The sequence below is a fragment of the Homo sapiens genome, chromosome 10 (genome assembly GCF_000001405.40).
Source record: "Homo sapiens chromosome 10, GRCh38.p14 Primary Assembly".
Lineage (NCBI taxonomy): Eukaryota > Metazoa > Chordata > Mammalia > Primates > Hominidae > Homo > Homo sapiens.
The window spans coordinates 45,427,493-45,439,384 of NC_000010.11; the positions used below are offsets into that span (position 1 = coordinate 45,427,493).

The 11,892-nt window shown below is 44.8% G+C and overlaps 1 protein-coding gene across 8 annotated transcripts in view, besides 4 other annotated features; it reads left to right on the plus strand.

The window, feature by feature from the left end:
- ALOX5 (arachidonate 5-lipoxygenase) overlaps positions 1-11,892 on the plus strand; it is a 71,902-nt gene that overhangs the window by 53,277 nt on the left and 6,733 nt on the right. For all 8 annotated transcript variants that reach the window (NM_001320862.2, NM_000698.5, NM_001256154.3 and 5 more), the window contains one exon: positions 1,126-1,272. In NM_001320862.2, coding sequence (NP_001307791.1) covers positions 1,126-1,272 — 147 coding nt within the window. The remainder of the gene's footprint in view (positions 1-1,125; positions 1,273-11,892) is intronic.
- Positions 195-858: an enhancer, noted in NCBI's record as "H3K27ac-H3K4me1 hESC enhancer chr10:45923135-45923798 (GRCh37/hg19 assembly coordinates)". NCBI's record gives its function as "activates a minimal SCP1, AML or CMV promoter by ChIP-STARR-seq in naive H9 embryonic stem cells {active_cell/tissue: H9 hESC(naive)}" and the evidence as "EXISTENCE:reporter gene assay evidence [ECO:0000049][PMID:30033119]".
- Positions 5,274-5,813: an enhancer, noted in NCBI's record as "H3K27ac-H3K4me1 hESC enhancer chr10:45928214-45928753 (GRCh37/hg19 assembly coordinates)". NCBI's record gives its function as "activates a minimal SCP1, AML or CMV promoter by ChIP-STARR-seq in primed H9 embryonic stem cells {active_cell/tissue: H9 hESC(primed)}" and the evidence as "EXISTENCE:reporter gene assay evidence [ECO:0000049][PMID:30033119]".
- Positions 5,814-6,352: an enhancer, noted in NCBI's record as "H3K27ac-H3K4me1 hESC enhancer chr10:45928754-45929292 (GRCh37/hg19 assembly coordinates)". NCBI's record gives its function as "activates a minimal SCP1, AML or CMV promoter by ChIP-STARR-seq in primed H9 embryonic stem cells {active_cell/tissue: H9 hESC(primed)}" and the evidence as "EXISTENCE:reporter gene assay evidence [ECO:0000049][PMID:30033119]".
- Positions 10,241-11,440: an enhancer, noted in NCBI's record as "MED14-independent group 3 enhancer chr10:45933181-45934380 (GRCh37/hg19 assembly coordinates)". NCBI's record gives its function as "activates an origin of replication core promoter dependent on BRD2, BRD4, P300/CBP and CDK7 cofactors, and independent of MED14, by STARR-seq in HCT116 cells {active_cell/tissue: HCT116}" and the evidence as "EXISTENCE:reporter gene assay evidence [ECO:0000049][PMID:35650434]".

The following is an 11,892-nucleotide window of genomic DNA, read 5'->3' on the forward strand; positions in this document are numbered from 1 at the left end:
TCCGAGCTCCTGCCGTCCTGGGTGGGTGGCTTCTGTCCTGCGTGCCGCCGGGCAGCCCGGGGGTCCTGCGCGCGGGCGCGGTCGGTGGAGCTGCAGGGGGGCGCTCTGGGATGTCTCCAGGCAGAGTAGATACTGACCCCTCCGCAGCCGGGACCCTCACCCTTTCCTTCATCACTCAGGAAACAGAAAAGGCTTCAGAAGGAGCGGCCATGCCCCCGGCCTAAGCGCTGCGTTCCCGGCCCAGCAGGCCTACCCTGCACCTGGCGTTCCTAGGGGCCCCTCTGCGGGACCCACTGCGCGGCTCGCAGCGGCCGCCCGCCTCCCACTTCACCGGCACGCTCGTTGCGTGTCGAGGTGTGTTGACTCCTACAGCAAAGGGCACGGATCCGCGGGTCAGCAAGCCCGACGAATTTACACCAATGACCCGCCGTGTCGCCAGTCTCAGACCAGGGCACAACACGCCAACCCTGCAGACCACCCCCACCTCCCCAGCCACTGCAGACCCTTCCCCCTCTGCTTCTGCAGCACCTCTCCCGAAACACGCTCATTCCCGCCCCCGCAGACCTTCCCTACCTCCTGGAGACCCCCCTCAACCCCTGTAGAGTCCCCTGCCCGTGCAGAATCCCCTCCCCCTTCCCCCGCAGCCCCCCTACCCCACCCGGCGGACAGCCCCGCCTCGCTTCCTGTCTCTTCCTCCCAAGGGAGACCCCTGTCCTGGCTCTGACTGGGGTTGAGTTCGCCAGTTTTGACTTATGTGTAGAGTCCGGCAGCATCATTTTTTGGCATTTAACTCGTCACATCTATTTCACCTAACCTCTTTCTTCTTAGTAAACTGACACTCGGGTCGGTCTCTCATCTTTCGTGCCAGTCAAGCAGGTTTCAGACACCACAAATGCCGAATGAGCTGCTGCCATTCCTTCATCTTACCCCGAACTGCCACAACCTGTGAACACCTTCCATGTGAATCAATCAGCCTTGGAGTCAGAGGAGAGAAGTACACATTCTGAGCTCCGCTGAGTCGCAGGAAAGGGAGAGGGGTGCCCAGAGGTCATCACTCTTTCCCCAGGCCTGATTTTTGGTCCGTCTGCTGAGCCTGATTTGGACACATCTCTCTGCCTCCTGCAGCAAGGGAACATTTTCATCGTGGACTTTGAGCTGCTGGATGGCATCGATGCCAACAAAACAGACCCCTGCACACTCCAGTTCCTGGCCGCTCCCATCTGCTTGCTGTATAAGAACCTGGCCAACAAGATTGTCCCCATTGCCATCCAGGTAGGCTGCTGGGGGGCACACCTTTCTGAGCAGCTCAGTCCTCTGCGATCCAGGGCTCCTGGGTGGCTCCATTCACACTCCAGCTGAGGAAGCTATGTCTTGAAAGACACTAGGGCTTCCTGCAGGCCCTGAGGTGGGCTGTCCATAGGGGCGGAGAGGGTTCTACTCCCCAAGGCACACTTGAGAAGCCCCTGGCCAGTCGAGGCACACTGTGGAGGACCTGCCCTGGGATCATATTCTGCACTCTCCACCCCAGCACCCTGACCAAGGGCCCCCAGTCAAGGTGCTGCCAGGGGCCAGGCAGGTGAAGCTGTGGACTAAGCTGGAGACCAAGACCACTGAGGGGCACCATGGGTTCTGGGGTCAGGAACCAGGCCAGTCCTGGTATGCCACCTTTGATGATGATGTGAGTTCTTATGTCCACCGGAGATGAGGCAGGAGGAAGAGGGAGACCCTGGAGGAAAGGCAGGCGGGCACAGGGCTTTGTCTCCCCCTGTTCCTGGCACCAGCCTGCTGCCAGGCTGGGAGCTGGTGTGCAGACAGCAGGGGCCAAGGCCAGGACTGGACTGGGCATAGGTCCCTGGGAGTAGGGAGGAACTGCGCAGAGGACACCGTGGGAGACTGGCAGATGAGCATTCAGCAAATAATGTCCATGAACTGGACCTTGGGAGCTGTGGACACAATAGCAGCTGGATAGGTCAGGCACCAGCCACATGCCAAGGCTATCCTATGGGTTAACCTGCACAGTCCGCAATCCCTTACCCTCGATTCTAAATCTAAAAAATCTGAAAACTGCTGCATATTTCAAAACTGTGCAGCAAATTCATTGTTTGTAAACAAACCTTCTTTGAAGCAATAGGTGAGGTTATTTAGAGGCTTTTTCCATTCAATGTGATATGTATGTGGATCACTGCAGAAATACTGCTCTGTTCGATTGTAAAATAGTATGTTGCCCTAGACTGGGGGTGGGAGGGGGTATGGCACATAATGAAGTATACCCACTGCTAAAATCCTAAAAATTCTGGATTCTGAAGCACATTTGACCACTGGGGTTTTAGATAACCTATCTTTATTTGTGTAATCATCACCACAACCATCCTAGGTAGTGGGCTCTATTGATGTTGATCATTTTACCCAGATAAGAAAACTGAGACACAGGTGCCCACAGCCAGCCACAGAGCTAGGATTCAAGCCAGGTCATCTGACTCTAGATTCCAGCCTCCCCACAGTCTCCCAGGGGCACGTAGCCTCAGAGGAGCTTCCTGTCTGTTACCAGAGAGAAGCCCTGTGCCTAAGAAACTGAAGCAGCAGGTAAAGGGACAGGTGACCTAAAAGAAGACAAAATTGCTGGGAGATCCCCGGAGATCCCAGGCACCACTGATGGTGCCTTCAAAAGCTTGGCTCAGAGATCTCTTGGAGCAGCCTGGAGTCAGGGGCCTAGCTTAAATTCCAGTTCAGCCACTTGCTAGCAGGCTGTGGGACCTTGAGCAAGCCACAGAATGTTCCTGGGTCTCTTTCTTCTTCTGAAAATGGAAACTTTGCAAACTATAAAGACTCAAGCAAATGAAAGCCAGAGGATAGTAAATCCAAGATCTGGTTCTTTGAAAGGTCCAAAAAATAATAATAATAACCTCCTCATGAGGCTGATGGAAAAAAAGAGATAGAAAAAAAAAATGCAAGATTCGGAATAAAAAAGGAATCATAAAAAGAGTAATTATAGCCAGGCACCATGGTGGTACACAACTGTAGTCCCAGCTACTTGAGAGGCTGAGGCAGGAGGCTCACTTGAGGCTGTAGTGTGCTATGATCACACCTGTGAATAGCCACAGCAGTCTAGCCTGAGCAACATATCAAGACCCCGTCTCTTAAAAAAAAAAAAGAACAGTAATTATGATTACATATTTTTTAAATGAGAGTAATATGGCAAAAATTTGAAAAATTAGAGAAATGGATAAAAACCTAGGAAAAGATAAATTAGAAGAAATTGTAGAAAATAGGCCAATTTCCATATAGTGATTGGAAACAGACCTACACAGCGAGCAGCTGAGTCTCACCCAGCCACTAGACAGCTGACATTTCCAGGGCTCTTTATCAGCCCCAAATTGATCATATAAAGCTGGTGTAAGCTTAGTTCTGAAACTGGATACAGGCAGGCTTCAAAAGAAGGCTGAAGACCAATCCAAGTATTAAATAAAGATTTAAAAGAAAACTAAAGGTGATATTAGCGAAGTGAGTGCAGCAGTGTATTAAATGACTATATGTAATAACCAAGCAGGGTTTATTCCAGATATTTCAATATCAAGAGAGCTACCACCATAATTTATTATACCCATAAGGATAAAGTTTATGATTATATCAATTCACACTAAAAGGGAATTTAATAACATTTAATAGCCACAACTAATAAAAATTAATAGGAGGAACCTTACTTTATATGATAAAGATAGCTAACATCAAAAAGGTGCAACTCTAATGCCATTTCCATTAAAATAATAAGAATGCTGATATCACTGTTTTTATTCAACATTATTTTAGAGGTCATACCACATGATAAAACAGGAAAACAATCAATAAACATATTGTCAAAGAACAGGGAAGATGATCTTTTCTGGTAATGCTATGGTAGACCTAGAAAACACAAGAGATTCTAATTTTTTTAAAAGCTACTAGATTAATAAATTCATTTGGCAAAGTGTTTAGATAAATATATTTCTCAAAAAAATCAATAGCCTTTCTCCATACTAACAATAAAATATAATGCCCATATAAGGAAAAACTATAAAGTTATTTATTTATTTATTTATTTATTTATTTATTTATTTATTTGAGATGGAGTTTCGCACTGTCACCCAGGCTAGAGTGCAGTGGCGTGATCTCGGCTCACTGCAACCTCCACCTCCCAGGTTCAAGCAATTCTCCTGCCTCAGCCTCCCGAGTAGCTGGGATTACAGGCACCTGCCACCACGCCCAGCTAATTTTTTGTATTTTTAGTAGAGACGGCATTTCACCATGTTGGCCAGGCTGGTCTCGAACTCCTGACCTTGTGATTTGCCTGCCTCAGCCTCCCAAAGTGTTGGCATTACAGGCGTGAGCTACCGCACCCGGCCAACTATAAAGTTATTTTAAAGGATATACAATGAACTCTTAACAGTGATTTGATATTGGGGAGGAAACTGTAAAAATGTCAGTTCTACCAAATTCTATTATAAAAACTTAATGCACTTCCAAGTAAAATTTCAGCCAGAATTTTTTATCTTTCTTGGTGGGGGTGTGGTGGTGGTGAAGAGGAACTAAAAAGGAGAGAAAACAATTAAAAAATTGAAAGATTCATATGGAAAAAGAAATCTAGCATAGTCAAAAATTTTTTGAAAAAAATTAAAACCACATAGAGAGGCAGGGCAACCAAGTGAGACCTCATGTCTTAAAAAAAAAAAAAATTAATAGAAAAAATTAGGTATGGTGGCGCATGCCTGTAATCCCAACTGCTCAGGAGGCTGAGGTGGGAGGATGGCTTGAGTCCAGGAGTTTGAGGCTGCAGTGAGCCATGGTCGCTCCACTGCACTCCACACTGGGCAACAGAGTAAGACCCTATCTTTAAAAAAAAAAAAAAAAAGTAAAAGAAAACACAGAAGGAACACTTTCCTTGCTGGATTTGTAAGGTTACTGTTAAGCAGACACTGTGCTTGAAAACAGAGAGAATTGGGGGACAGTATAGAGTAAGATCCAGAAATGGACTCCCCCACAGAGGAATTCAGTGTATCACAATGGAGGTTTTTCAACTCAGTGAAAAAGGGATATTATTTTAATGATGCTATCACACTGCCTTTGCATGAGAAGAAAATTAAATTGGACTGCTCTGTCATGCCATTTACAAAAATAAATCTCATCATGTAGAGGAGTTGCTTAGAAGAAAAAGAAAAAATTCAGATGAAGTAAAAATTAAAATGAAAAAAGTAAACGAATTTAGAAAAACTAATTACGCAGACACTCAGAAGACTTTTAGAAGGAAAAGGAAACCAAGAAGTTATAAGGGGAAAGCTAAGCATATTTGATTATGTAATGTTTTAAAACTTGAGTGATAAACCATAAACAAAGCCAAAAAGCAAAACAGAGATTAGGGTGAGTAACCATAACAGAAGTGACAGCTAAGAGATGCCTATCTATGATACACAGGTAGCTCCTTTACATTGACGGGAAAATACCAATACTCCAGTGGAAAAATGAGCAGAGAATATGAATAGGCAATTCACAAAAGAAGAAATGTAAATGGGCAACCAGCATATGGAAAAACTCCTAACTTCACCTGTAGTTAGAGAAATGCAAATGAAAGTTAACAATGAGATATCATTTCTGACATGCCTGGTTGGAAAAACAAAGGGGTAACTCCCAGACACCAGCAAGGACGGAGCCCCATGCTCTGCTCATGAGTTGTTGCAGCCTGGCAGTGTTCACGGGATAACTGGTGGGCCTGGGCAGCCCAAGGTCAGAGCTTCGGCCAGCACCGGAGCAAGGTCAGAGCTTCGGCCAGCACCGGAGCAGATCCCACAGCGCCTGCTGTACCAGGTGCATGTTGCAGTGGGCGGTCAGAGGGTCCTGGGGTTGAGGCTGTCGTGGCGAGGACAGTTGTGTTACCGAGCTGGACTGGGATCTGCTTGCCCAGTGCAGCAAAACCAAACACTGAGATTGGGATATAATCTACGAGAACACAAGGCATTTATTGCGGGGACCAAAAAAGGAGAATTGGGCAGCTCACTCTTAAGACCGGAACTCCCTGATGGCTTGCAGGTAAGGGTTTTTAAAGGCAGAGTGAATTTCAGGAATTGCAGAAGTTAACAGGCAAAATCATTAATCAATACATGGAGGGTACACATTGGTTTTGGCCTAAAAGGGCGGGATATCTTGAAGTGGGGGTGGGCTTCCAGGTCATAGGTAGATTCAAAAATTTGTTGTTTTGAAATTGGTTAAGGAAGAGAAGTTTCATTTAAAAATTTGGGTTACCAGAAAGGAATGTTAGCTGTGGCTTGTGGGCGGGACTTCCCCCAGGCCCCCCAGGAAGAAATTTAGAACAAAGAGCCTGCTCAGAGTTCAGTCCTCAGTTCCGTCTTATCTGAGGTCTCTGTGCCAGTGGATCGGTTTGGTGGGGGTCTGGGTTTCTGAAAAACAACTCAGAGACACATGTTCAGGGGTTCTCTTTAGTTTCCAGAGGGAACCAAACAGCCCAGGACTCTGGCTTCCTTGGCTGTTGTTTTAGGCTGCTGTTACCCTCTTGTTTGTCAAGTTGCTCATTTATTTCTCAGGGCTAGCTAGGTGCCTGGAACTTCCCTTCAAGGAACTCGGGATTTTCCTTCATTTCCATGCCCTGTTGCGGGGCTGGGGGGCTACAGTGCCCTAAGAGGAGGCCCCTGCCCCGTCTCAATTGGAGGAGCACTGGAGGGGACTTTATTGTTTAAGTGTTCTGACAGCCAGTAGCACTGAACAGGTGTGCACCAGGAGAGTGAAACTGTCTGAGGAACAGTAGGGCAGGCACTGTCTACTCGAAAACATACCCAAACCCCCAAGGCTCAGCCTTCGCTAGCAGCCACTCAGCAGAAATGAAAGCACAAATGTGTGTGGGTAGCAACAGGAGCATAGTTTGTGATGGGGAAAAAAATTGAAAACAGTCTGAAGGCAGAAGAGGATTGAGTGAGTGAGCCCTTCCATGTCCTCACCATAAAATGTTGAGGCGTCTTTGAAAGGAATGCTTTGGTTCCCTTCCAGCTGACCTGGAGGGGTCTCCACAATGAGTTAACAGTGGAAAAACAAGACACAAGGGACCGATAAAGGATACATATCTGTCGTATACAAATAGCTCCTTCAAACTGCTAAGGCAATGGGCATGGTCTCACTTATGTAAAATGAATGCAAGGATGCAGCAGGCCTACTGTGCCAGCATGGGGACACAAGGACGCAGTGTCACCAGGTAGGAACACAGTGATGGCCCAGTGGGGGACAGGTGAGCAAAACAAAGAGACAGATGTTGATTATAATCATATTCAGTTGATGGAAAATTGGACAGATAAATGTGCACACATGCAAAGACCTATGAAAGGAGGCTCCCCAGAATTTGGTGGTTATCCCTGGGCGCTGGAAGATGAGATGATGTTTTCTTTCTCAGGCTCTCCTGTCATGACTCAGATTTCTTTTTACGATAAGCACATATTCTTTTCTAATCAGAAACGCAAAGCTACTTCCTTACCCAAAAAACAAATTTAAGAAACACAAATTGCTCAGGGCAAGTTCTGGCATCCCATGGCAGGCCAAAATCCTGGACAGGAGTGGGAGGATGTGAAGGATGGGTTGGGGAAGGCCCAGCTCAGTGGTACAAGAGCTCAAGGAGATGGGCAGGTGAGGCCCGGTCAGGCCGGGAGGTGAAGAGAAGCAGAAGGGAGAGTGATGGGCTGAAATAGGCAGAGCACTGGGCCCATCCTCATTCAGCTCTTTTTTTACTGGTCAGAACAGTTTTTTTTTTTTTAATATATAAAATTTTAGATTCAGGTACATGTGCAGGTTTGTTACATGGTTATATTGCATAATGCTGGGGTTAGGCTTCTATTGAACCCATCACTCAAATACTGAGCATAGTACCCAATACCCAGTTTTTCAACCCTTTCCTCCCTCCCTCCCCTTCCTGGAGTCCCCAGTGTCTTTTGTTCCCACTTTTATGCCCATGTGTACACAATGCTTAGCTCCCACTTATAAATAAGAACATGCAGTATTCGATTTTCTGTTTCTGGGTTAATTCACTTAAGATTATGGCTTAAGTGCCAATCCTAAGCTGCATCCATGTTGCTGCAAAGAACACGATTTCATTCTTTTTTATGGCTATGTAGTATTCCTTGGAGTACATGTATCACATTTTCTTTATCTGGTGCCACTATTGATGGGCACCTAGGTTGATTACATGATTTTGATATTGTGAACAGTGCTGCAATAAACATATGTGTGCCTATGTCCTTTTGGTAAAACAATTTCTTTTCCTTTGGGTAGGTACACAGTAATGGGGTTGTTGGGTCAACTGGTAATTCTATTTGCAGTTCTTTGCAAAATCTCCAAACTGCTTTCCACAGGGATGGAAGTAATTTACACTGCCACCAACAGTGTGTAAGCATTCCCTTTTGTCTGCATCCTGCCAACATCTGTCATTTTTTTACTTTTTAATAATAGCCATTCTGACTGGTATCCCTTTGTGGTTTTAATTTGCATTTCTCTGATGATTAGTGATGTTGGGCATTTTTTCATATGTTTGTTGGCCACTTGTATGTCTTCTTTTGAGAAGTGTCTGTTCCTGTCCTTTGCCCACTTTTTAATGGTGGTGTTTTTTCTTAAGTTCCTCATAGATTCTGGGTATTAGTCGTTTGTGGATGCATAGTTGCAAATATTTTCTCTCATTCTGTAGGTTGTCTGTTTACTTTGTTGATAGTTTGTTTTGCTGTGCAGAAGCTCTTTAATTTGATTAAGTCTCATTTGTCAATTTTTGTTTTTGTTGCATATGCCTTTGAGGTCTAGTCATAAATTCTTTGCCTAGGAAATGTCCATAAGATTTTTTCCTAGGTTTTCTTCTAGAATGTTTAAAGTTTGAAGTCTTACATTTAAGTCTGTAATCCATCTAGAGGTAATTTTTGTATATGGTGAGAGGTAGGGGCCCAGCGTCATTCTTCTGCATATAGGTAGCCAGTTTTTCCAACACTATTTATTGAATAGGATGTCCTTTCCTTATTGTTTATTTTTGTTGATTTTGTCAAAAATCAGTTGGTTGCAGGTATATGGCTTTATTTCTGGGTTCTCTGTTCTGTTCCATTGATCTCTGTGCCTATTTTTGTACCAGTATACCATGCTGTTTTTGTTACTGTAGTCTTGTAGTATAGTTTGAAGTCAGGTAATGTGATGCCTCCAGCTTTGTATTTTTGCCTAGGATTGCTTTGGCTATTCGGCTATTTTTTGGTTCCATATGAATTTTAGGATTTTTTTTTCTAATTCTGTGAAAAATGATGTTGATAATTTGATAGGAATTGTGTTGTATCTGTAGATTGCTTTCTTCCAACCCATTAGCTGGGATGTTTTTCCATTTTTTTGTGTCATCTATGATTTCTTTCATCAGTGTTTTATAGTTCTCTCTGTAGAGCTCTTTCACCTCCTTGGCTGGATACATTCTTTGGTATTTTATTTTGTGTATGGGGGACTATTGTAACTGAGATCACCACGTTCCTGATATGGTTCTCAGCCTGAACCTGAACATTGTTGGTGCATAGAAATGCTACTGATTTTTAGGCCAGGCACAGTGGCTCACGCCTGTAATCCCAGCACTTTGGGAGGCCGAGGTGGGCAGATCACCTGAGGTCAGGAGTTTGAGACCAGCCTGACCAACATGGTGAAACCCCGTCTCAATTAAAAATACAAAAATTAGCCAGGTGTGGTAACACCTGCCTGTAATCCCAGCTACTTGGGAGGCTGAGGCAGGAGAATTGCTTGAACCTGGGAGGCGGAGGTTGCAGTGAGCTGCGATCACACCACTGCACTCCAGCCTGGGTGATAGTGAGACTCCGTCTCAAATAAAAAGAAATGCTACTGATTTTTGTACACTGATTTTGTATCTTGAGTGTAGAAAGTCAAAAGTTTTTTTTTTGTTAAGGAGTAAATTATGTGTTAGAAATAATAGTTTTTTCTAAAGACTAACTTTTTTTAAGCCTTTTCGCTTTGTGCTAATAACTTTTTGTTAAGCCCTATCATATGTAGCTGTTAGATATAAGGGAATGAGTACATTCTATGTCCTTGTACTTTAACCAAGATATTTGTGCTGGACGTGCTCACAGGCATGTCCCAGCTTGCAGCCCATGCCCCTTCCTTATTTGGAAATGTTATTACTTTTCTAAGTCCTTTCATAAGCAACTTCCTCTTTTCCTTTGTCTTTCCACTGCTTTTACCTATTTAGAAAAGTTTTAAGTTATTAGCCAGTCGGGTTTTAGTTTAGACTGTGAGGTTTGGCTCCAGCCAATGGAGACAGGACACGGTAGCAGGGACAAGCTGCGTAAGGAATAAAAATTGCTTCTCTCCATTATTCAGGTGTGCTCTCGCCATTGTTCCATCTGCGAGGAGCACCCTTTCTGCAGAAAGTAAAATTGGCTTGCTAAAAAAACTTTTTGTCTAAATGCTGATTTTTCCTTGCAGTACCGAGGAACAAGCATTCTGTTTCTAAACAAGCATTTTACTTATAACATTGAGACTTTACTGAAGTTGTTTATCAAGTCTAGGAGTCTTTTGGAGGAATCTTCAGGGTTTTCTAGGTATAGAATCATATCATGGATGAACAAAGATAATTTGACTTCCTCTTTTTTTTTTTTTCATTTGGATCCCTTTTATTTCTTTCTCTTGCCTAATTGCTCTGACTAGGACTTCCAGTACTCTATTGAATAGGAGGGGTGAGAGTGGACATCCTTGTCTTGTTCCAGTTTTTAGGGGGATTGCTTCCAATTTTTGCCTGTTCAATATCATGTTGCCGGCTGAGCTCTTTACCTACTGTGTGACTTGGGAGAGCTGCTAAACCAGCTGGAGCCTCAGTTTCCCCCCATGTAAAATGGGTACAGCAAGGAATATCTGCCTTGCAGGGTCAAAGTGAGGATTAAGTGAGATAGCATGGGTAAAGCCCCTAGCACACAACAGGGGGGCTCCTCGGCCCCAGAGGATGTCAGGAACATGTCAGTGTCCCAGAGCCATCAGGAACATGTCAGTGTCCCAGAGCCATCAGGAACATGTCAGAGCATGTGGGGACATGTCAGAAAGTGTCTCAGAGCATGCCAGGCAGCCCAGCATTCTAGGGCACAGATCAGGTATCAGTGGCCCAGGCATCTCATGCAAACGGGTGTGGCAGTGGGGACCCTGAGAGCTGGGACTCTGTAAAAGGGACAAGAGCGTAGTTCTGTGAGAACCTGGGTGCAGAGTTCTGAGACCTTCTAATTTTTCAAGAAAACCAGGTCATTCAAATTTTTATGTGAAACTGTCTGGTATTTAAAAGCAGCCAACTAATCTCAAGTATAAACAGACAGGCACGCCTAATGTGCAAGTCACACTCTGCTCTCCCTCCTCCCTCCCCCCTCCTTGGTCCTCAGGGAGTGCTGAGGCTTCTGGGGTCTCTCTGACCAGGGTGGAGCCACTGGCCACCAGGGCTCTGGAGCACTTGGGATTTGGCTCGTCCAAACCAAAACCTGCTGCAAGTGCAAAGTTCACACCTGATTTTTAAGACTTAGAATAAGGAGGTGGGGAATGTGAAATATCTCATTTAATAGTTTTAGATTGGTTTCATGTTGAAGTGATAATATTCTGGATATATTGGGTAAAATAAAATTATATTATTCACCGGCATTTCACCTGTTTCCTTTTATTTTTATTAATATGGCTTCCTGAATATATACAATTCCATGTGTGGGGTAGCATTATATGTCTATTGGACAGCACTGTTTTCGAGGGAGAGACGCCCAAGGACCCCACCTTCCACAATACTTATAGCAAGTGACACAGCTGTGTGCTCTGGGACAGTTCTCCCTCCCCAGCCATGACCACTGTGCTGCAGTGACACTGGTCTTTCCC